At 33.4% G+C, this 25,287-nt stretch overlaps 1 annotated feature.

Moving 5' to 3' along the window:
* Positions 24,350-24,525: a silencer, noted in NCBI's record as "fragment chr6:67768818-67768993 (GRCh37/hg19 assembly coordinates)". NCBI's record gives its function as "represses an EF-1alpha promoter that drives an FKBP-Casp9 reporter gene in an ReSE screen in K562 erythroleukemia cells {active_cell/tissue: K562}" and the evidence as "EXISTENCE:reporter gene assay evidence [ECO:0000049][PMID:32094911]".

Genomic DNA, 25,287 nt, shown 5'->3' with positions numbered 1-25,287 from the left:
TTCTAATATCCCCTGCTTATTATTGTCAGTATCTTGCTAAGTTTATTTTAGTTTCAAGAAACGTTACCTTAATTTCAATTTCTCATCTTTCACTTGTATAAAACTTTAAGAGCTTCCTAACAAGTCTAATAATTTGAAGGCTTTAACTCACCCAGTCTGTTTTACCACCTTAAGCTCAGACTTTATTATTCTACTTATTTGTGTATACTGGTATATGTAGGTTTGTATGTGTATATATACTACGTATATACGCATAATATGTATGGACCTACATATATGTATAAAGGAATAGCTGTGTTTACACACACACACACTCATATTTATGTCACCATGTTCATACAGTACACTTTTTAAAAATCTTAATTATCTTCTCAATTTTTCTCCTCTTACAATGAATTGATTTACTAACTAAAATTCCACCTATTCTTTAAGTTTCACCTCCAATTAGAAGTCTTTTAAAATGTCATCCATTAAAGTTTATCTAATTCTCCACTGTGAACTCAGATAATTTTTTAAAATGTATTCATATATCTGGTGTCACTCTGCCCGGATTACAGCTGCTATGCTACGCCCCTAAGTAGGTTTTGAGATCTATGAAGATTAAGATCTTATAGGAGTCCATAATTTTCTATTTTCATAGTAATTTTCTTAGTAATCTTCTAAGTAAGTTGTTCTTTATATTTACCCCCATGTTATATAAAATAATTTGTTGTAATTGTTTATGCTACAGACGTCTCCACCTCACCTCACGCTATTAGCCTACAAAGGCAAATGAGGAAATCTGGATTTCAGTTAACACCTCTGATGATTATTTGGTACACTATATGTTAAAAACCTCTGCCCAAAGCAATAGGCCAATGCAGTCAGTCATTTACTCATAAATAAATAGCATAGAACCAAATTATACTGTTCTATTTGATGATCTATAACCAGGTTTAATGCAATCAGAAAATGTAGTTCGAATTTTATTTCTAAATAATAGTAGCCAATACATACAACATTTCCTATGTAATAGGTGCTTTTCTAAGTGCTGTGTATATATTAACTCACTGAAACCTCACCATAATTCAGAAGTGATTACTACTACTGTTACCATTTTACAGATAAAGAAAATGAAATCAGAAAACATTAAGTACTTGCTAAAGATTGCATCTCTTTTAAATCTGGCTGCAGTCTGTTCTTATAAACTGTACTGTACTGTTTGTAATGCATAAAGTAACATATATTTTATATAGTAAATATTATACATATAAAGAATCTGAAATTTGATCAAAGTTGTTATGGAGCATAGAAGACATAAAGTGTCAATTAGTTGATCACAGGAAAACCCAACACATTCTGTTTAGCCTTTTATCTGATCCCCAGATGGAAATCATTACTTCTTAGCAGTAGAAAACACACTCAGCCATTATTCAATCCAAATGGCTAGTTTATGTGAATTAGGTGCTTGCTACAATTATTACTCATGAAAGACTATCTGGTTTAAGGTAAAAAAATGTTTTTGAGAATTAGGATTAAAATGTTTCTCACTATATTTGTAAAACCAGAAAAACCCCCAAAGACAAACTTGGCCATGAATCTTAATCACTGGTATTTAATTTAGAACCATTATTTCTATAAACTCCATTCACGATTTGTTTAAATATCTGATTTTAGACATGTAAAATATTCAAATTCATCTAAATAGAATGACCATGCTATTCAGTAGCTTGTGTGAATAATTTAACTCAAAGGCTGTTTCACAACATTTGTATTATTATATAGTCATTATTTTTGGTCAAATTTACTTATTTATTTGTTGGTGAAAGGTTAACTGTGGTGTGAGGTTATCTTTATCACCTTCTACAGGCAAAGCACGTCTTATACCTTATCTCATATAAGCCTCATAACAAACTAGAAAGTAGATATTGCTTTGAGATGAATGTACCAAAGGTCAAAAAGTGACTTAACAAGCTGGTCACATAGCAAGTAATTTTCAGATCTTGGAAAGAAAAAAAATATATTTTTACAGAAAATAGGTATTTTTGAAATAGACTATTTCATAGATGATGATGATGACAGATAGATAGATGGCTAGAGATATAGGTAGATCACCTGTGTGTGTGGTGTGTATATGTGTTTGTATGTTGCATATCACATAAATATTATTCACATCCCAAATTCAGGAATTACTTATAGAGTGGCAATTTACCTTCATTTCTGATATCAAGAATATGAGTCTTGTTTATTCTTTTAACAAACTTTTATTGGGTACTTCCTCTGTGCTGGCACTATTCTAGGTGCTGCAAATCTTGAACCATACTGACAAGGTCTCTGCTCTTAAAGGCTAATATTCTTGGGAGGAAACACAGAGATAAAAATCATAGAATTAAAATTAAACTTTGCTGTTTTATGCAGACATAACAAAGGGTTCTTTACGTACACACATACACACATACATACAGCAAGCAAGGCCTCTCCAAGGAGATCTCATGAGGCTAACATCTCATTACAGGAAGCCAGGCTTATGTCCCTCACTTTCTAAGGCAAAGTCTGGTACACAATTTCTGAAGCAGAAGTAAGCCTGGCTCATTTCCAGGATTGAGAAAAAGGTCGATTTTATTTGAACGTAGTGGTCAAGGAAATACAACTATCTGTTTTGGTGAAATATTTTATCAAGCTTGTTTTTCTTAACACTGGAAAATCAATGGAAGATGAAATGCCAGTATCAGAAAAGTTACTAGTGGGCAAAAGAAGAACACTACAAATTTGCATTTTCTCTATATACAATTCATATTTCTTTTGATATGGAAGAGAAAAAAATAAAGTTTCATGCTGTAGTTATGCCTATCCAGATGCAACCTAACAGTTAAGCTTAGAGAAATCTTTTTGTGTCTATAATATGATAGCCTTTATAGGAAAAAGTGCATAAGAAAATACAGCAAATAATGAAAAGAGATAACAACATGGCCATTACTAGAGTAGTCAATATATATATATTTCTGAAGAAGAAAAAGGATGAGAAAAAGTTGATTTCTTTGGCCTAGGTTTGGACATGGACAATATTAGAAACATCAAGAAACTATCCCTTTTTTAAATCAATTTGAATTTGCTACAGACTTTTATTTAGTACATAAAGAACAATCTTTGCACCAACGATGCCACTATCTAAATATGAACACTAAAGATATACACATAATAAATATTTTGGTATTATTCCCCTAAAACAGTAGTGAATGGAGACTGAAAAGAATAGGAAGAGAACTGATAGGTATTTTCCTGAGAAATAGTGGAGACAGTTAAAGCTTTGAGATGGAGAAAATCATACATATATAATGACTTGAGAAACGAAAAGAAAATAGTAGCTGTGAATTCACTCAGTATCAAAAAGCTACCCTAAGCATAGAAAGAAGAGTTGAACAACAAAGGGTACAAGATATCTAAGAGGACCAGAAGCTATTACCAGAAGCAAGAGATATGAACTATAGCTCTTCTGCTGACCTCAGGCACCAAATTCCATTTGGACAGTACATTCAATATTGATGAGTCTGTTTTCCTTTCATTGACTATTCTGCCTTACAGTGTACTTTTGGGATTTTAAGCTAACAAGTACTATGAAAACTGAACTTGGAATCTAGGGCATAGTTGGACAAATCAATCATACACAGAAACACAGAAAAGCGCCTTGCTTACTAGAAAAAAATCCATAATTCCATTTCACAAGGCAAAAGAAATATCTAAATGACCTTTCCAAATAGGTCAAGTGAATAAGCACATATATATATATATATGTGTGTGTATGTATATTTTTTTCCTTCCTTCCTTAAGTTTACAGGCAATTGCTATACAACCTGAAGAAAAAGGCTAAGCTGACGTTTATCTACCCACTGGAACCAGCATATTCATAGATTCAGATATAAATAAGGACACTAGAGAGGAATAGATGAAAGTAAAGGAAGTAAGAACTGTCAGCATGAACTTACGAGACTACTTGACAAACTCAACTGTTCAGTTACTGGCATCTGAAAAAAAGGTGACTTCTGTAGTATACCTGCTCTCAGAATTTATAGAAAGGCAGGTTCATATTTGAGGAAAACAAGATATAGATCTTGTGGAAGACTAGGGAGAGAGAGAATAATCATTTGCACTTACTGATCTATTCTAATGTTAATACTGAAGACAAAAAAGTAGAGGAAAAAGTTTCTTAGAATTTTGAGTCAAACTGATAGAGGTGATGATAGCAAAGCAGAAAACTCACTAGAGAAATGAAATAAGTAAAACTGTTATCCATCTGGCCATCACTATGAGATGGTTTCAATTTGATGTTGAGAAAAGCTGACAGAACAAAAGGTGATATGTTTTATATGCGACAAAAATAACAAAATAAAACTATGTAATTTTAAAGAGCATTTTTAATAGCTAAAGATTTTGTTAAACAATGGAGCTAAAGTCATAAAACAAAATAATTTTATTAAAGCAACATATGTACTAGAAATATTTTGACTAATAAAACAAACCAAAGCAAAGTTAAATATAGCTACTTATAATGCATCAAATCAAAAAGTTCATGCTTGCATTTTTTCAAAGTACAGTGTTATAAGAATTTAAGAATCATAACATCATATACTAATTTCTCTAGTAAATATAGGTTGAGGTTTATACAAAGAGCTCACAATTCATAATTTTGTTTATTAATAATATAAAACCTAATAATACAAAAATATAAATATGGCCAATAATATTTATATATTTATGTATGTATTTACATATGTATGTTTGTGTTTATTTGACTAAATTTCTAAAACTTTCATTAGCATCTTCTACATACAGATATGGATTATGCTTTTTGATACTCTCTTTTTGAAAAATGTTTTTTAATCATCCCAATCAGCATTATACTGAAATTTGAGTAAAAGTCAAAAAATTTTATTACAGCAACATATGTAATATAAATATTATGACTAATAAAATAAACCAAAGCAAAGTTAAATGTAGCTATTTTAGAATGTACTCTATCAAAAAGTTCATGCCTGCATTTTTTTCAAAGTATAGTGTTATAATAATTTAATTTAACAATAATAAAGTCATGTACTAATTTATTTAGCAAATGCAGATTAAGGTTTATATAAAGAGCTGACAATAATTTTGTTTATTAACAATGTAAAACCTAGTAATACAAAAATGTTATGAGTGAATATTCTTGTCAAATTGAATTAATAATTAAATAAAATATCCCATGTCTTATCCTTTCAGGGTATTCTTTTTATTTAATTATAATATCTCAAATAATTATAAAGGAAAACACATTGTTAAAATATGTATATATATCAACATACATGTTTCTACTTAACACCTGGAGAAAGCCAAGTTAACTATATGTGAAAGTTCATAGTATGCAAATTTATATTTCATAGGCTTTTGGGTTAAAAATATATTAACTTATACATTTGGCTAAAAGATTAAATGGCCAATTCCCCTCAGAACTACTGTTAAATTCCATAAATTTTTTTATTCATTAATTAATTTTAAAACAAGTATTGATCCTAAAAACATAAACACATTATTCATTATTTTAAAAAATTACATTGCTGAAACGATGCAATCTGCATTTTTATCACATCATAAAAGTCTTTTAGAATTTAATCTTAGAATATCACTTCCAATCTCATTTTTCATTTTCTAAAACCTAGCCAACTTGTTTTGAAAACATGACAATTTTAAAAGAAATAATATGTTGTTGGATTACCAATAAAAGCTTAGGAATGGTAAAGCTTCATTGAATTAAACAGTGTAGACAAAAAGAGCTTCACAGATTAACTGTTGCAAGAAATTATCAAATTTGACTCATTTCCATAATTATTTTAGATTCTCCCCTAATGTTTAAACATGTTTTTATTTTGAAATACACTTCAAAATGATTGTATATAATATCAAGGAATACTAATAAGGGAATCAAATAGATTTCCATAATACATCGCTCAGCTTAATGGAGAGAAAATAATTACTGCTATAGTAACTGTGAAGTATGAAGGGTGCTCTTTCTCATTTGCATTAACTTCTATCCCTTTAGGAAGAAACACACTTCTAAATTGTATGTGTTTCTCTCATTCTTCTATTTATAATTTTCCACATATAAACATTAAGTGAAACATCAATTAGTTTTTTATTTATGTATGTTATGTAAAATAACTCATATTGTGTATTTATTCCTTCGTATTGTATTCACTCAAAAATATTTTATGAGATTCATCCATGTTCATGTATATACTTGCAATTCATTCATATTCACTCATACTGTGTAGTCGTTATATGCATATACAAGAATATATCAGTTCAATTAATGATGAACATGTTGATTTTGAAATTCTATTTTTGTTTTAAGTAATAATTTATATTATTATTATTTATAACCTTACTCTGTATTTTACAGATATTAACTCATTTTATCTATTACGACCATCTCTTAAAACACTTACAAATGCCTTCTGGGATACATCAAAATCATTTCCTCTGGAGTGATATTTTTGGAGAAGATTGCTGTGTCATGTCCGTATTTGCTAGGCAATGTCAAATTGGTTCTCAAACTGATTGCATTAATTTATGCTCCTATAGTTTTAGTGTTTCCTTTGTTCAACACTCTAGCCAACACTTGGTATTGATTCATTATTTCATGTAGATCTACTGGATATGAAATCTCATTTTGCATTTAACATTCTTGTGATAAATAAAGGTTGAAAATCTTTTCATCTTTTGAGTCACTGATGCTTTCTGCAGTAAGCCTGTTTATGTATCTTTCTCATTTCTCATTTTTTCTTATTGATTCAAATTATTTTTCTGTTAAATCTCAACTATTATAAATATTTTCTCCTACCTTGTGAATTTTTTCTTAACATATGCTATTACCATGATTTTGTTTTGTCTCTGGGCTTTTCATGTCTTTTAGTAAGAAAATAAATAAATACATAACAATGTTAATGTAGCCTATCTGATCTGTTCTTTTATTATTTCTGTTTTGTACATTTTAAAAAAAATTTCCTTCCATAGGACAGTAAATACCTTTTCAAAGTATTAAAATTTTGACTCTCCAATTTAAGTATTCAATATGTCAGGAAGTAATACTTTGTGAAATTTAAAACCGGGATTCATTTTCTCATTCTTTTATCGCCTTTTTCTTTCTTTCTTCTTTCTCTCTCTTTCTTCAATTCCTTCCTTCCTTTTTTTTTCTTTCTTTTTCATTTTTCTTTTTTTCACGAGCAGAAAGCTATCAGCACCATTTATTGAGGATCTCATCTTTTCTATAACAAACTGCATGCAATGAATACTCATACTTTTTATTCACATAAAGCTCCCATGTTATATTCCATAAGTCCATTTAACTCTACATGCAACTAAATAACCTAGCTTAATTTCTATTTATTCCCAATGAAACAATCCTGGTATGCCAATTACCCATATCTGGTTCTTTTCCTTAAATATTATTTTAAGTATATTGTACATTTTGCTTCTCTAAATATATTTAGAGGCAAATTTTAATTTGCATGAAATGATTATTGGAATTACATTGACTTAGAAGATCAATTTGGGGAGAATTTACATCTATTCATTATTAATTCTCACAGACAGAGAACATAGAATATACTCTATTGATAATTTCCATCAAGTTAATACAGTTAGTAACTTAAAAATGGAGGACTTGTATATAACTGGTTGGATTACATGCACAAATATGTTAACTTTGTTTCTATTAGGTATGTTATTTTAAATTAAATTTTATTTTCTCTCTTCTACTAGTTTTTATTTTTCAAATATTAATATTTTATTTGAAAAACTTATTAAATTCCTTGGTTAATTCTATAACATTTACATTTACTTACGGCATTTTTATGTAGACAACCGCAGTATGTAAAAACAATAATTTTCACTATTTTTTCTTCATTCCTTAAGTTTTATAATTCTTTTTCAGTCTTTTTGCCCTCTATTGAAGTTTCATTACATTTCAAAATGAGAATAAAAAGTTAGTTATGTTTCTTTTGTTTCTGTCTTTAATAGATAATGTCTAAAAAGTCACAAACAGACCTACTTTTTATAGACATTTGGTGAATAGATACTATAAAATTAAGAAAGTTTTGCACTTTAAAATTTGTAATAAGGTTTTTGTAATGGTCTAGTTCTAAATTGTAACTTTATCTGTATCTGTTATACATTATGTTTTTATTGTTGCTGGTATTTGTGAGTGTGCTTTATTTCTTTTGGTCACTAAAAATCCTGCCTATATTTATTCATTTTATTATTTCTTTACTGAGTCAACCTCTGACTTCGCTGGTTTCTATATTTTATATTTGTTTTTGTTACTTTATTTTCTGCACTTCTGTTTATGATTATCTTTCTCAACAGACTTTAGATTTGTTTTAAAGTTAGATGCTCAAGTCATTAATTTTTTCATGTACCAAGTTTCTAATATGAAGCATTTGGCTGCATCCCATAATGGAACTAAATTAATGTAACCACTTTCTCCTGTAAATTTTAGTTTGCTTATGAACTATGACCCAGTAGTTTCACTCTTAAATATAAGCCCTAGAGAAATACTTGTACAGGTGCAATAAGAAGTTTTTAAAATTGGATTAATAGCAAAAATTTTATTGTTACACATATATATGTATGCACACTCATACACATATATATGTATATGTATTCTGTAAATGTTAGGTGTAGCAAACTATAAATAATATTTAAGCTAGTTGATAATGTCATGTAGATTTTCTGTACCCTCACAGATATTGTATCTAACTAGTGAGGTTGTTGTGTTAAATTCCATGAAGATAATATGGATTTGCTTTTCATGTTCATAGTCAGCTTTTTTGTTTATTATACCTTGATGCTCTACTATTAAATCCATATTTAGTTGCAATTGGTATATTTTCTTTAAGAATGAACTGATAAATCATGACAATCATCATACACATTTTTTTGATCAAACATCATCTAATTATTGACTAAATTTGTTGAATTTGATTGTATACAAATTATCCCTCAAGAGTAATAAAAAATAAAGGCAAAAATTTTATCAATTTAACCCTAGGAATATTTTCCTTGCAACCCTGGCCTATCATATTGTTAGAAACTAAATTCCTATATGCATTACTCAGCTGCAAAAGAAAAGAGTATTAAGCATGTGTATTTCTTAGAATATTACATATATGTAACGACAGCATGCTTTGTTTTATCATGCTGTTATTGTTAAACAATGTTCTAAACATTTTTACTGATGGCAGTATTCTTGTGTCTATTAATCATTTTACTTCTTTATTTTATAATAAGAAAAATATTGCTGAGTCAAATTTTCATATCAAGAGCATCACTCTATTTTTATATTTTGTTTCTGAGGTAACAGAGAGGGATTATCTGATTTTGTACAGGTATATAGAAGCAGAGCGAAGAAAACACCAAGTATATTCTGCAGTATTTACTGAACTTGCAACAAGCTAACTCTAAGAGTCAGTATTTATTATTTTTGGTCAGTTCATCTCCTGCGTCTGTGTGTATGTGTATGTATTTGTGTGTGTCAGTGTTTGTGTATATGTTCTCAGAATCTGAAATTTTTGCTTTTCCTTGTTAATCTCAAGTTATTCTGATTGGTAAATGTTTGAGTCAGACAAATTTGAAAACCTGAATACAAACTTTTCTCTGGCTTATAATGAATTCATTGAATGTGATTATGTAAATTAACATTAATGTTTAATGAAAATAAACTTTGCAAAGTGCAATAATTTTATATGAAAGTGATAGAAAGATACATAAGGATTCCAGCCATAGCACAATACGATATTAAGAAAAACTGTACAGTTATGCTAAACCTTACATTTTATATACTTTTATTGATATTTGGGAGAACATTATGAGCATTGCTTTTTTTATTTATTAAAACTGTATTCAAATATTGTAATTATTTGAGGAAAGGAAAGGAAATTCTTGGCTATGCTTTTATTTCTTTACCAATTTTCCTGCTAAGCATATTCTTTATTTTTTCTCTTAACCTGGTGAACTACTATTTATCCTTGAAGTCTCAGTTCATTTGTTTTTTTTTACTTTTGAATTTTTATTCCTAACCCTACCCAAATTTAGCTTTTTCTTCCCTCTGGCAAAATAGTATTTTGTTACATATTTTAATAAAAAGATGTTTATTAATAAATTATTTCTTTATAATATATCTCATATTTATTTGAGTCAAGTGCAGAGTCTCATTCACTCAATTTCTGACATAAGTCTCAAAAACTGCTTGCTAGATTATTATTTTAATTATTCTTGTCTTTTAAATTAAGACATTTCTGCTGGGTGACAGCAGAATGGCAGAGTAAGGTCATCTGCCTATCCAATAAGAAGAAAGATTAAACATCAAAATTAGCATTTCAGAACTATTAAGAATAACCAAAGAATTGTAACAATACTGAGAGTTGTTTTGAGAAACATAATAAATCTTGGTAAAAATATTGAGTTTGAAGGCATTTAAAATAATCTCTAATTATTATCCTCCTTGACCATGTTCCATTGTGACCTAGCAAAATAACAGCCTCAAAAACAGGGTAGTCCTGAAAACCAGAAACCTGGCAGTTACAGGAGGGAACAAAATCAGTTTGGTCCTATCATTTTCTGACAGAAAGAATACATTCTGGTATTCTATTACACAGTATGATGACTACAGCAAATAACAAAGTGGTATAACTACATAGGTTGAAGAGAAGATTTTGAATGCTGTCACCACAGAAAAAAGATAAATGTTTGAAGTGATAAATATGGTGAATACAACAATTTGGCCATTATACAATATATACATGCAATGAAATATCACATTGTACCCCACAAATATTGTGAAATTGTATTGTAAAAACGTATTGTATTAGCCAGGCGCGGTGGCTCATGCCCGTAATGTCAGCACTTTGGGAGGCCGAGGCAAGTGGATTACCTAAGGTCAGGAGTTCGAGACCAGTCTGGCCAACACTGTGAAACCATCTAGACTAAAAATACAAAAAATTAGCTGGTTGTGGTCGCAGGTGTCTTTAATTCCAGCTACTCGGGAGTCTGAGGCAGGAGAATCACTTGAACCCAAAAGACGGAGGTTGCAGTGAGCCAAGATGGCACCACTGCACTCCAGCCTTGGCAACAAGAGTGAAACTCCATCTCAAAAACAGAAAAAAAAAAAAGTAAGGACCCATTATGAACAAGAAATACACGATAAAATAAATAACCAATTTCTTATTAGAAACTATAGAGGACAGAACGTGGTGAGTTGCTATATTCAAGGCGAGTGGTGAAATAAAAAGACTGGCAACCAATAATCCAGTCTTTTGTATCCAGCAAAAGTAATTTTTAAAAATACAGGAAAAATAACACACTTTCATATGAACAAAACTAAAAAACAAAACACTGTGGCTAGCACACCCACCTCCCATATAGAAAATACCAAAGAGTACTTTAAGCAGAAAGAGCAGAACACTGGAAAGTAGTTTATCCAACATGGAAATATCAAGCTCACCAGTAATGTGTATAAATATGTAAATATGAAAGACATAATAATAATATTTTTATAATAACTTTTTTCTCAGTCATTTAAAGATAACCATATAAACATAATTTTAAAAATGGGTTAATAGATTTTTATTGTATAAGAATGTCATTTGTGGGACAATAATAGCACTAAGGAGAGGGAAGAAAATAAACCTATACCAATAAAGTGGTGTTGTTGTTTTAAAATTAACTTTCTTTACTTCCATACTAGATTGTTGTACATTAAAGTAGTAATTATAGACATGGGGCCATTCAAAATAATAAATATACTAAGAGACATGAGAAGTATTTTAAGATCATACTCTAGAAAATAGCTATTTAATATAAAATAAAATGTTAGTAGAGGACTATTAAAGAGACATAAAACATAAAGAAAACAAATAGAAAAATAATAGAAAATAAGGCAAGTTCTACTTGTGAGAAATTAAGTATATGTATATAGAACAAACATTAAAATGAAAGGCAGAGGTAGAAAACATAAATTTTTAAAAAAATGATTCAACTATATCACTACACAAGAGATACACTTTAGATGCAAACTCAACTAAGTTAAAATAAAAGGAGGAAAAGGTACACTATGCAAACAGTAACCAAAAGAGATATGGATGGGATGGCTATTCTAATATTAGACAAAATGGACTTTAAGATGGAAATTATAATTGCAGAAAATATATAATGATTAAATTACTAATGACAATTTATAACAATTAAAGGGTCAAATAATTAGGAAGACATAAAAATTAAAAGCATATATGAATCGGTCATCAGAGCCCCAAGACAGTTGAAGTAAAACTTGATTCAATTAAAGGAAAAAATAACAATACATAAACATTTGTTGTTGATTTCAGTGACCCACATTTGATAATAATAAAAAGAGAAAAAATTAATATGGATATTAAAGATGTTAAAAAAAATCTTGTCCCCAGGATAAAACCTATTGTAAGTCACAAATAAATTCTCAATAAATATTAATAATTGAATTCATACAATGTATGGTCTCCAGAAAAAATAGAATAAAATTAGATGTCAATGAAAATATAAATTTGAGAAATTTATAAATATGTTAAAATTAAACAATGCAGTTTCAGTTTTCAATATGGAACGAGTCAAACAGAATCACAATCAAAATTGAAAAATAATTGGAGAGGAAGACGAAAATACAACATACCAAAGAAATTAAGTTAAAGTGGTACTAGAGGGACATTTATAGCTTTAGACACTATAAATCAAATCAATGACAAAACTTCCAGTGTAAAAGTAATTGAAAAGAAGAAAAAATCTGAATCAATGTTATAACAAAGATTACAGTTAAAAAAAGGAAAATAGAGAACAATTATAAAATTTAAAAAAGGTTTATTATTTTAAAAGATCAATACAATTTACAAAATTTAACTAGAATTACAAGAATAAAAAGAGTAGGCTCACATTACTAAAACTCAGAAAGAAAGAGGATGCATTGTTATTGACCTTACAAAAAATATATATAATGACATACACACACACACACACACACACACACACACACACACACAAATATATATATATCGATTTTTATGATGATGATAAAGACATACCCAAGACTGGAAAGAAAAAGAGGTTTAATGGAATTACAGTTCCACCTGGCTGGGGAGGCCTCACAATAATGGCAGAAGGCAAGGAGGAGCAAGTCATGTCTTGCATAGATGACCGCAGGCAGAGAGAGAGTTTGTACAAGGGAACTGCTCTTTTTAAAACCACCAGATCCTGTGAGACTTACTAACTTTTGTGTGAACAGCATGAGAAAGACCCACCCCCATGATTCAATTACCCTGTCATTCAACTCCCACTGGTCCTTCTTACAACACATGAGAATTGAATTGTGTGTAAAATGAAATTTGGGTGGAGACACAGCCAAAGCGTATCATTCTGTCCCTCGCCTCTCCCAAATCTCATGTCCTCACATTTCAAAACTAATCATGCCTTCCCAACAGTCTCCCAAAGTCTTAACTCATGTCAACATTACTCAAAAGTCCACAGTCCAACATCTCATCTGAGACAAGGCAAGTCTCTTCCACTTATGAGACCGTAAAATCAAAAGCAAGTTAGCTACTTCCCAGATACAATGGGGGTACAGACATTAGGTGAATACAGCCATTGCAAATGGGATAAATTAGCCAAAACAAAGGACAACAGGCCCCATGCAAGTCCAAAATGCAGCGGGGAAGTCAAATGTTAAAGCTCCAAAATGATCTCTTTTGATGTCATGCCTCACATCCAGTTCACATTGATACAAGAGGTGGGTTCCAATGGTTTTGGACAACACCTCTGTGGCTTTGCAGGGTACATTATCTCTCTTGGCTGCTTTTATGGGCTAGCATTGAGTGTCTGTGGCTTATCCAAATGCACATTGCAAGCTGTCAGTGGATCCAACATTCTGGGGTCTGAAAGACGTTGGCCTTCTTCTCACAGCCCCAGCAGGTGGTGCCTCAGTACAGACGGACTCTGTGTGGGGGCACTGTCCTAGCAGAGGTTCTTCATGAGAGCCCTGCCCCTGCAGCAAACTCTGCCTGGAAATCCAGGTATTTCCATACATACATTCTCTGCCATCCCAGCAGAGGTTCCCAAGCCTCAATTCTTGACTTCTGTGCACCCACAGGCTCAACACCACGTGAAAGTTGCCAAGGCCTGGGGCTTGTACCCTCTGAAGCCACAACCAGTGCTGTACCTTGGCCCCTTTTAGTCACAGCTCGAGCAGCTGGGGCAGAGGGCACCAAGTCTCTAGACTGCAGACAGAATGGGAGACCCTGGGCCTGGCCCACATAACAATTTTTTCCTCTAGACCTCCAGACATGTAAAGCGGGGGGCGGCTGTGAAGACCTCTGACCTGCCCTGGAGACATTATCTCCATTGTCTTGGGGATTAACATTCCACTCCTTGCTACTTATGCAAATTTCTGCAGCCAGTTGGAATTTCTTCTCAGAAAATAGAATTTTCTTTTCTATCACATTGTCAGCCTGTCAAACTTCTATGCTCTGCTTCCCTTATAAAACTGAATGCCTTTAACAGCACTCAGGTCACTTCTTGAATGCTATGCTGCTTAGAAATTTCTCCCATCAGATACCCTAAATCATCTCTCAGAAGTTCAGTGTTCCACAAATCTCTAAGGCAGGGGCAAAATGCTGCCAGTCTCTTTGCTAAAACAGCAAGAGTCACCTTTGCTGCAGTTCACAACAAGTTATTCATTTCCATCTGAGACCACCTCAGCCTGGACTTTATTGTCCACATCACTAACAGCATTTTGAGCAAAGTCATTTAACAAGTCTCTAGGGAGTTTCAAACTTTCCCACATTTTTCCATGTACTTTTGAGCCCTCCAAACTATTCCAACTTCTGCCTGTTACCCAGTACCAAAGTCGCTTCTACATTTTCAGGTATCTCTTCAGCAGTGTGCCACTCTACTGGTACCAATTTACTGTATTTGTTTTCATGCTGCTGCTAAAGACATACCCTAGATTGGAAAGAAAAAGACGTTTAATGGCATTCCAGTTTCAAATGGATAGGGCGGCCTCACAATCATGGTGGAAGGCAAGCAGGAGCAAGTCACATCTTACATGGATGATGGCAGGCAAAGAAAGAGCTTGTGCGGGGGAAGTCCTCTTTCAAAAGTCATCAGATCTAGTGAGACTTATTCACTGTTGTGAGAACAGCATGAGAAAGACCTGAATCCATGATTCATTTACCTTCCACTGAGTCCCTCCCAAAACATGTGGGAATTGTGGGAGTTACAATTCAAGATGAGATTTGGGTGGGGATGCAGCCAAACCTTACACACACACACACACACACACACACACACACACACAAGCACATTAATAATGGTTGCTGAATTTAGTGCCACACATTTATATTTATATATAATTTATATATAAATTTATATATTTTATATTAATACATATTTTTATATATTAATATAAAATATATATTGTATATTTAATATTTATATATAGTTTATATTAAATTTATATATAAATTAAATATATAAATATATATTTATTAATTAAATTAATAAATATATAAATATATATTTATTAAATAAATACATTTATAAAATAAATATATTAATTAAATATATAAATTAAATATATATAAATATAAATGGCTGTCCAGCAGCACCAAAAATATATAAACAAGGACTACAAGGGAGAGTTACACAACTTTTATTAATGACTTCAATGCAATGCACATATTTCTAGAAATACAAGCTACCAAAATTTACTCATCATAAACAGAAAATCTAAAAAGACCTATAATAAGCCAAAATGGCAAAGTAGAAGCTAGCTGGCTTTACTACCCACCACCCCAACTACAGAAAATCAAAACCAAATATACATTGCCAAAATTATCACCAGCAATATTCCAGAACTTAAATATGAGGAAAAGAGTTCCCTGGAACACAGAGAAATGAAAAAACTAGGAGCATATGGTAAGAGAATCAGACTTCCATATCTGCAACATTCTTTCCCCAGTCTGCCAGGCACCAAGCTTGGAGAATGTCCTCCCACTCCCAACTCATCAGATAACTACATCAGAAAACGTAGATCCAGGTAGACACCAGCTTCTACATCTTTTATTCCCTGATAGAAAATCTATCCCTGCCTTAACACACAGGAATTATTGTGAGGGCCTGAAGGGAGAAAACTTCTTGAAGACAGCTAGATACAGGGGAGAAGGTAGGACTAGTATCTCCAGGCAGGAAAACTTTCCTCTGTGTTTTGGCCAAAGAAGAAGTTAAAACAGAGTGGCTGTCTAGCAGCACCAAGCTATAGGAGATGAGTTTCAGGCCGGGCTCAGTGGCTCACGTCTGTAATCCCAACACTTTGGGAGGCTGAGGCAGGCAGATCACTTGAGGTCAGGAATTCAAGACCAGCCTGGCCAACAAGATGAAACCCTGTCTCTACTAAAAATACAAAAATTAGCCGGGTTTGGTGGCGTGTGCCTGTAATCCCAGCTACTGGAGAGGTTGAGGCAGGAGAATTACGTGAACCCAGGAGGTGGAGGTTGCAGTGAGCCGAGATGGCGCCACTGCACTCCCGCATTACAGCCTGGGTGACAAGAGCGAAACTCCCTCTCAAAAAAAAAAAAAAAAAAAAAAAAAAAGTAAGTTTCACAAGTCCTATAAGCACAAACTCCTAGCCAGTTTTCCCACACTGCCGGAATATTCCCTGGGGGACTTCTACCATTCAGGCTAGGCAATGCTCTTACCTTTGCTAGAGCTGAGGTAAACGCAGGGTTAAGGTGCCATCTAGTGCTGAAGAGGCGGCAGTGATCTTGGAAAAATACATTCAACAGGTATATTGCAAATAAATCTATATACAAACATATCCAAAAATCGAAACAAGCCAGAGAAAACTGGAATAAATAACTAATCCTTCAAATGTGAAGACATAGAAGTAAACGCAGAATAACAATATAAAACAGAGAACTATAAAACCCAAACCTCCCCAGACAAACGAGGAGACGGAGAATTATTGTAATGGGAATATGAAAGGCAAGCTGTCTGATCAAAAGTTCAAAATAGCATATTTAAGGAAACTCAATAATCCACAAAATAAAAAAGGAAAGCAACAGAAATTTATCAGAGAAATGTAACGAAGATTGAAATAATTTAAAATATAAAACAGAAATCTTGGAAGTAAAAAGTATATTTGCTATACTGAAAATTTTATTACAGGCTTTCAACAGCAAAATGGATGAATCAGAGGAAAGTCTTACTGAGCTTGAGGACAGGCTACTATAAAATACACAGAGAAGAAAAGCAAATGAAAAAGAATAAAGAACACATGCAGGATATAGATAATTACCCCAAAAGAAAAAATTTAAGAATTATTAGGATTTGGCTGGTCACGGTGGCTCACGCCTGTAATGCCAGCACTTTGGGAGGCCGAGGCAGGCGGATCACAAGGTCAGGAGTTCGAGATGAACCTGACCAACATAACAAAATCCTGTCTCTACTAAAAATACAAAAATAAGCTGTGTGTGGTGGCACACACCTGTAATCCCAGCTACTTGGGAGGCCGAAGCAGGAAAATGGCTTGAACTTGGGAGGTGGAAGTTGCAGTGAGCCAAGATCGCGCCACTGCACTCCAGCCTGGGTGACAGAGCAAGACTCCATCTCAAAAAAAAAAAAAAAAGAAAAGAAAAAAAAAAGAATTATTAGTATTCAAAATGTAGCTGAGGAAGAGCAAGGAATAAAAATTGTATTCAAAGAGTAATAACAGAAAATGTTACAAAATTTGAAAAAGATGTAAATATCCAGACATAGAAAGGTAAGAGATTGCCGGATTAAACACAAATAAAACTACATGAAGCAATGTAATAATCAAACTCTCAAATGTCAAGAGAAAAGAGAGGATTCTAAAAGCAGCAACAGACAAGAAGCACGTATATAAAGGGGCTCCAATTTGTCTGGAAAAAAAGCTTCTTAATAAGTAACATTCCACCATAAGGATGGAATAGGATAGCATGTTCAACATGCTAAAAAACAAGACTGCCAAACATGAATTTAGTGTCTTGAAAAACTATCTTTCAAACATGAAGGAGAGATAAAGTCTTTTCCAAACGAAAGCTGAAGGAATTCTTTACCACCAGACCCATCTTTTAAAAAATGCTGCAGAGTTATTCAATCTGAAAAAAAGCAAAAAAAAAAAAAAAAAATTAAAAAAAAACCTAATATGCAAATATAAACCATTTGAAGGTCTAAAACCTAGTGGTAAAAGTAAATACTGAAAAAAACCTCAAAATATTCTAACACTATAATTATGTGTGTAACCCACTCATAATTTTATTACGAAGACTAAAAGGCAAATCTATCAAAATCAATAATATCGACATCAATCTGTTAAGAGATAGGCAATATAAGATTACATGAATTGATGCCAAAAAATAGGCCAAAAGGAGCAGGGGTTGGGGGTGGAGCTGAAATGCAAAATTAAATTTTTTTTTTGTCGTTGTTTATTTCTAGTTTTTCTTTATAGTCAAAGAAAAGTTGTCATTTGTTTAAATAACTTGTTATACCATTAACATGTTTTTCTAAGTCTCGCAATAACCACAAAGCAAAAACATATCATAAATATACCAAAAAAAAGCACTGAATTAAAACATAGTTTCAGAGAAAATCTCTTAACCAAAAAAAAAAAAAAAAAAAGGCAGTAATAGAGGAAGAAAGAAAGAAAGGTGATTCAATACAACCAGACAACAAGTAAATAATGGCATTGGTAAATCCTTACCTATCAATAAGAACTTTGAATGTAAATGTATTGAATTCACCAAGAAAAAGTTATAGAGTGGCTGAATGAATAAAGAAACAAGACCAAACTATATGCTGCCTTCGAAGAAAACTGCTTCATCATCTATAAAGAAAAACACAGACCAAAAGTGAAGATATGGAAAAACACATTACAAGGAAATAGAAACCAAAGGAACAGGAGTAGCTATACTTATATCAGATAAAATAGGCTACAAGTCAAAGACTATAAAAAGCTACAAAGGTCACTATCTAATGAAGAAGTCAATCTTGCTACAGCATGTAACAAACAGGTATCTGTGTACCCAACACAGAATTCAAGTATTTAAAGCAAACACTAACACATCTGAAAAGAGAGATGGACTCTAATACAATGATAGTAGGGGATATTAACATTACACTTTCAGTAATAAACAAATCATCCAGACAGAAAATCAACAAAGAAACATCAGAGTTAAGTTACACACTTGACTAAATAGGCCTAACTTAAATTGACAAAATATTTCACCTAACTGGTGCAGAATACACACTATTTTCAACAGGATGTGAAACATTATACACATTATACAAAACAGATCATATGCTAGGTCAGGAAACAAGTCTCAACAAATTCAAGAGTCCAAATTATATCAAGTATTTTTTCTGAACACAAAGAAATAAAATTATAAATCAATAAGAAGAGAAATCTTAGAAACCACACAAGCACATGGAAATTAAACAACATGCTCTTGAATGACTATTGGGTCAAGGAAGAAATTAAAAAACAAATTCTTGAAATAAAATGAATATGGAAACACAACATAACAATATCTATAACATACAGCAACAGCTGTGCTAAGGGGTATGTATGTTTATAGCATTAAACATCTATATCAAAAAAATTCAAATTAACAATTTTATGATGCAACAAAGAGAAATAGAAAAGCAAAAACAAATCAAACCTGAATTTAGCAGAAGGAAAACATTAGTAACAATCAGAGCAGGAATAAAAGTGAAATTGAGATTGAAAACGCAATACAAAAGATCAATTAAAAGACAAGTTATTTTTAAAAGATATGCAAAATTGACAATTCTTAAGCTAGACTAACTATGAAAAATAGAGAAGATATAAATATTAGATAAAATTAGAAATGAAAAAAAACTCATAACAACTGATATCACAAACACAAAACAAAATCATTAGAAACTATTATGAACAACTATACACCAAAAAATTGAAAACCTGAAAGACATGAATAAATTGTTTAACATATAAAACTTACCAAGATTAAATCTTGAAGAAATAGAAAACCGGAACAAACCAATAAAAATTAATCAGAGAGTGTATTAGTTCATTTTCATGCTGCTGATAAAGACATTCTTGAGACTGGAAAGAAAAAGAGGCTTAATTGGACGGACTTACAGTTCCACATGCCTGGGGAAGCCTCAGAATCATGGCGGGAGCAAAAAGGCACTTCTTACATGGAGACAGCAAGAGAAAATGAGAAAGAAGCAAATGCAGAAACCCTTGATAAACCCATCAGATCTTGTGAGACTTATTAAGACAAGCCACCATGATTCCATAACCTCCCCTTGGGTCCCTCCCACGAGATGTGGGAATTCTGGGAGATAAAATTCACGTTGACATTTGGGTGCGGACACAGCCAAACCATATCAGATAGAAAAAGTAGTAAAATGTCTCCCCAAAAATAAAATAAAAATAAAAAAATAAATCCCAGAACCCGGTGACTTCATTGCTGAATTTTACTGAACAATTAAAGAAGAACTAATACCAATTCTACTCAAACTGTTCAAACAAATTTATGAGGAAGCAATACTTCCTAAATCATTCTCTGAATCCAACAATGCCCTAATACCAAAACCAGACAAGGGCAAAACAAAAAAAGAAAGCTACAGGTCATGGCCGAGCAGGTGACTCACGCCTGTAATCCCTGCACTTTGTGAGGCCGAGGCTGACCGATCAATTGATGCTGGGTATTCCAGACCAGTCAGGCCAACATGATGAAATCTCCTTTCTACTAAAAATACAAAAATGACCAGGAGCGGTGGCTCACGCCTGTAATCCCAGCACTTTGGGAGGCCGAGATGGGTGGATCACAAGGTCAAAAGATCAAGACCATCCTGGCTAACACGGTGAAACCCCGTCTCTACTAAAAATACAAAAAAATTAGCCAGGCGTGGTGGCGGGCTCCTGTAGTCCCAGCTACTCAGGAGGCTGAGGCAGGAGAATGGCGTGAACCTGGGAGGCGGAGCTTGCAGTGAGCCGAGATGGCGCCACTTGCACTCTAGCCTGGGTTACAGAGCGAGACTCCGTCTCAGAAAAAAAAAAAAAAAAAAAAAAAAAAAAAGGCCGGGCGCGGTGGCTCACGCCTGTAATCCCAGCACTTTGGGAGGCCGAGGCGGGCGGATCACGAGGTCAGGAGATCGAGACCATCCCGGCTAAAACGGTGAAACCCCGTCTCTACTAAAAATACAAAAAATTAGCCGGGCGTAGTGGCGGGCGCCTGTAGTCCCAGCTACTCGGGAGGCTGAGGCAGGAGAATGGCGTGAACCCGGGAGGCGGAGCTTGCAGTGAGCCGAGATCCCGCCACTGCACTCCAGCCTGGGCGACAGAGCGAGACTCTGTCTCAAAAAAAAAAGAAAAAAAAAAGAAAAAGAAAAAACAAAAAAAGCCGGGCATGGTGGTGCACTTCTGTAATCACAGCTACTTGGGAGACTGAGAATCACTTGAACATGGGAGGAGGAGGTTGCCATGAGCTGAGATTGCACCATTGCGCTCCAGCCTGGGTAACAGAGCGAGACTCAGTCTCAAAAAAAAAAAAAAAAAAAAAAAAAAAAAAAAAAAGGAAAAAGAAAGCTACAGCCCTACAGCCTTGATTGACATATACACAAAAATCTCAACAAAATACCAGCAAGCCGAATTAAACAACATGTTAAAGAGACCATCCACAATTATCAAATGGGATTTAGCCCACGGATGCAAGGATAATTAAACATAAGCAAATCAATAAAAGTGACAAATTGCATTAACAGAACCAAGAACAAAAAAAAAAAAAGATTATTTTAATAGGTTCTAAAAAAACATAAAATAAAATAAAATTCAATATTCCTTTATTATAAAAACATTCAACAGAATGGGTATGGATGGAATATAGGTCAAAAGAGTACAGGCTATATATGATATACTCATAGCTAACATTATACTGAATAAGGAAAAATTGAAAGGCTTTTCTGCCACTTTCCCCATTTTTATTCAGCAAAACACCAGAAATCTCAGCCAGAGCAATCAGATTAGAGAAATAAATAAGGGGCATCCAAATTGAAAAGGAAGATGTCGAATTTTCTTTATTCCTGGAAGACATGATCATATATTTAGAAAACCCTGAATTAATTTTTAAAATTCGACAAAGTTGCAGGTTATAAAATCAACAGAATAATCAGTAGTGTTTGTATATGCCAACAATGAACAATCTGAAAGAGAAATCAAGAAAGCCATTTTATCTAAAATAGCTACAAAAATATAAAACACCTGGAAAGATATTAAACCAAATAAATAAAAGATTTCTGCAAGAAAAACTATAAAACACTGAGGAAAATAGTTGACAAAAAAATGGAAAGATATTCCATGCTCATGGATTAGAAAAAGTGAATTCATTAAATATCCAGTACCCAAAGCAATCTATAAAGCCAATAAAATTCCAATCAAATTGCCAATGACATTCTTTACAGAAAAGTTAAAAAAAATTCTAAAATTTATATAAAACCACAAAAGACCCAGAAGAGCCAAAATACACTATTTTGGCAAAACAGCATCACAGTTGCATAAAATCAAACACATTGGCTAATGGAATACATTACAGAAACCCAAAATAAACTCATGCATTTATACCTAACTCATTTTTGACAAAGGTACCAAGAATATACATTGGGGAAAGGACAGTCTCTTCAATAAATTGTGCTGGGAAAACTGTATAATCATATGCTGAATAATTAAATTGGACCCCTATCTCTCAGCATATACAATAATCATATCAAAATGAATTAACAGCTTAAATCTAAACTTCAAACTATAAAAATACTAGATGAAACATTGAGGAATTGCTCCAGGATATTGGTCTGAGGAAGATATATTGAGTAAGACCTCAAAAGTACAGGCAACCAAAGCAAACATTAACAAACAGGATTATATAAAGATAAAAAGTTGTACACAGCAAAGGAAGCAATCAACAAAGTGAAGACATGGCCCACTGAAGCGCAGAAAATATTTACAAGCCGGGCGCGGTAGCTCACGCCTGTAATCCCAGCACTTTGGGAGGCCGAGACACGCGGATCACAAGGTCAGGAGATCGAGACCATCCTGGCTAACACAGTGAAACCCTGTCTCTACTACAAATAGAAAAAATTAGTTGGGCATGGTGGTGGGTGCCTGTAGTCCCAGCTACTCGGGAGGCTGAGGCAGGAGAATGGTGTGAACCCGGGAGGCAGAGCTTGCAGTGAGCCGAGATTGTGCCACTGCACTGCAGCCTGGGCGACAGAGCGAAACTCTGTCTCACTAAAAAAAAAAAAAAGAAAAAAGAAAATATTTACAAACTCTTCATATACCAAGGCTTAATAACCAAAATATAAAAGAAACTCAAATAGCTCATTTGCAAAATAAATAAATGATGCAATTTAAAAATGAGCAAAACGTCAGGCATGATGGCACAAGCCTGTAATCCCAACACTTTGCAAGGCCAAGACCAGATAATCACTTAAGCTCAGGAGTTTGAGACCAGCCCTGGCAACAGTAAGATCCCTTCTCTATAAAAATAAATAATTCGCCAGGCATGGTGGCATGCGCCTGTAGTTCCAGTCACTAGGGAGATGGAAGTGGGATAATCACTTTTGCCTTGGGGGTAGAGGATTCAGTGAGTCATTGTTATGCTACTGCACTCCTGCCTGGGTGACAGAGCAAGGCATTATCTCAAAATAAATAAATAATAAAAATCTAAGTAGACATTTCCTGAATAAAGACACGTGAATGACTAACAGCTTTATTTTAAAAATGCTCAACATCACTAATCATCAGAGAAATGAAAATTAAGACCACAGTGAGAAATCATCTCACCCCAGTTGAAATGACCTTTATCGAAAATGCAGGCAATAACAGATGCTGGCAAGAAGCCAGGCGCAGTGGCTCATGCCTGTAATCCCAGCACTTTGGGAGGCCGAGGAGGGCAGATCATGAAGTCAGGAGATCAAGACCATCCTGGCTAACATGATGAAACCCCGTCTCTACTAAAAATACAAAACCAAAATTAGCCAGGCGTGGTGGCGGGTGCCTGTAGTCTCAGCTACTCGGGAGGCTGAGGCAGGAGAATGGTGTGAACCTGGGAGGCGGAGCTTGCAGTGAGCTGAGATCATGCCACTGCACTCCAGCCTGGGCGACAGAGCGAGACTCCGTCTCAAAAAAAAACAAAAACAAACAAACAAAAAAACAAATGCCGACAAGAATATGGAGAAAGTGGGACACTCATACACAGTTGGTAAGGATGTAAATTAGCCTGACCACTATGAAAAACAGTAAGGAGTTTCCTCCACAGTCTACAAATAGAACTAACATCTGGGCTGGGTGTGGTGGCTCACGCCTATAATTCCAGCACTTTGGGAGGCCGAGGTGGGAGGATTGCTTCAACCCAGGAGGCACGGGTTGCAGTCAACCAAGATTGCACCACTTCATTCCAGCCTTGGTAACAGACCAAGGCCCTGTCTTAAAAACAAACAAACAAACAAACAAACAAAAAACCTACCATACAATTTTACTACTGGGTATACAACCAAAATAAATAAAATCTATTTATCTGCATTCCCATGTCTATTGCAAAATTATTCACAGTAGCAAACATGTAGAATCAACCTAAGTGCTCATCAAAGGATGAAAGGATAAGAAAATTTGTATATATACACAATGGAATACTACTCAGCCATAAAAAAGAATAAAAACTTGTCATTTGTAGCAATATGGATTGAACTGGAGGTCGTTATATTAAGTGAAATTGGGCAAGCACAGAGAGACAAAGATTATATGTTCTCACTCCTATTTGGGAGCTAAGAAAGTGCATCTCATGAAGACAGGGAGTACATTGCCACTCCCTCCAGGAAGGGTTGGGAGAAGGGAAGTGAAGAGAGGTTGATAGTGGGTACAAAGTGCAGTTAGATAAAAAAAAAATCTAGTGTTTGATAAATCACAGAGTGACTATAATAAATGACAATTTATTGGATATTTAAAATGCCAAACAGTAAATAATTCAAATGTTCCTAACATTCATAAAAATAAAAGTTTAATGGGATAGATATCCCAATTACCCTGATTTTGTAATTAGACATTAGATGAATGTCTAAACATCACATGTACCCACAAAATATGTACATCTCTTCTATATTAATAAAAAATTAAGAACCATTAAAAATAGACTTACAACAGTG

This window comes from Homo sapiens, chromosome 6 (genome assembly GCF_000001405.40).
Source record: "Homo sapiens chromosome 6, GRCh38.p14 Primary Assembly".
Taxonomy (NCBI): domain Eukaryota; kingdom Metazoa; phylum Chordata; class Mammalia; order Primates; family Hominidae; genus Homo; species Homo sapiens.
This window is presented reverse-complemented; position numbering and strand designations above follow the sequence as displayed.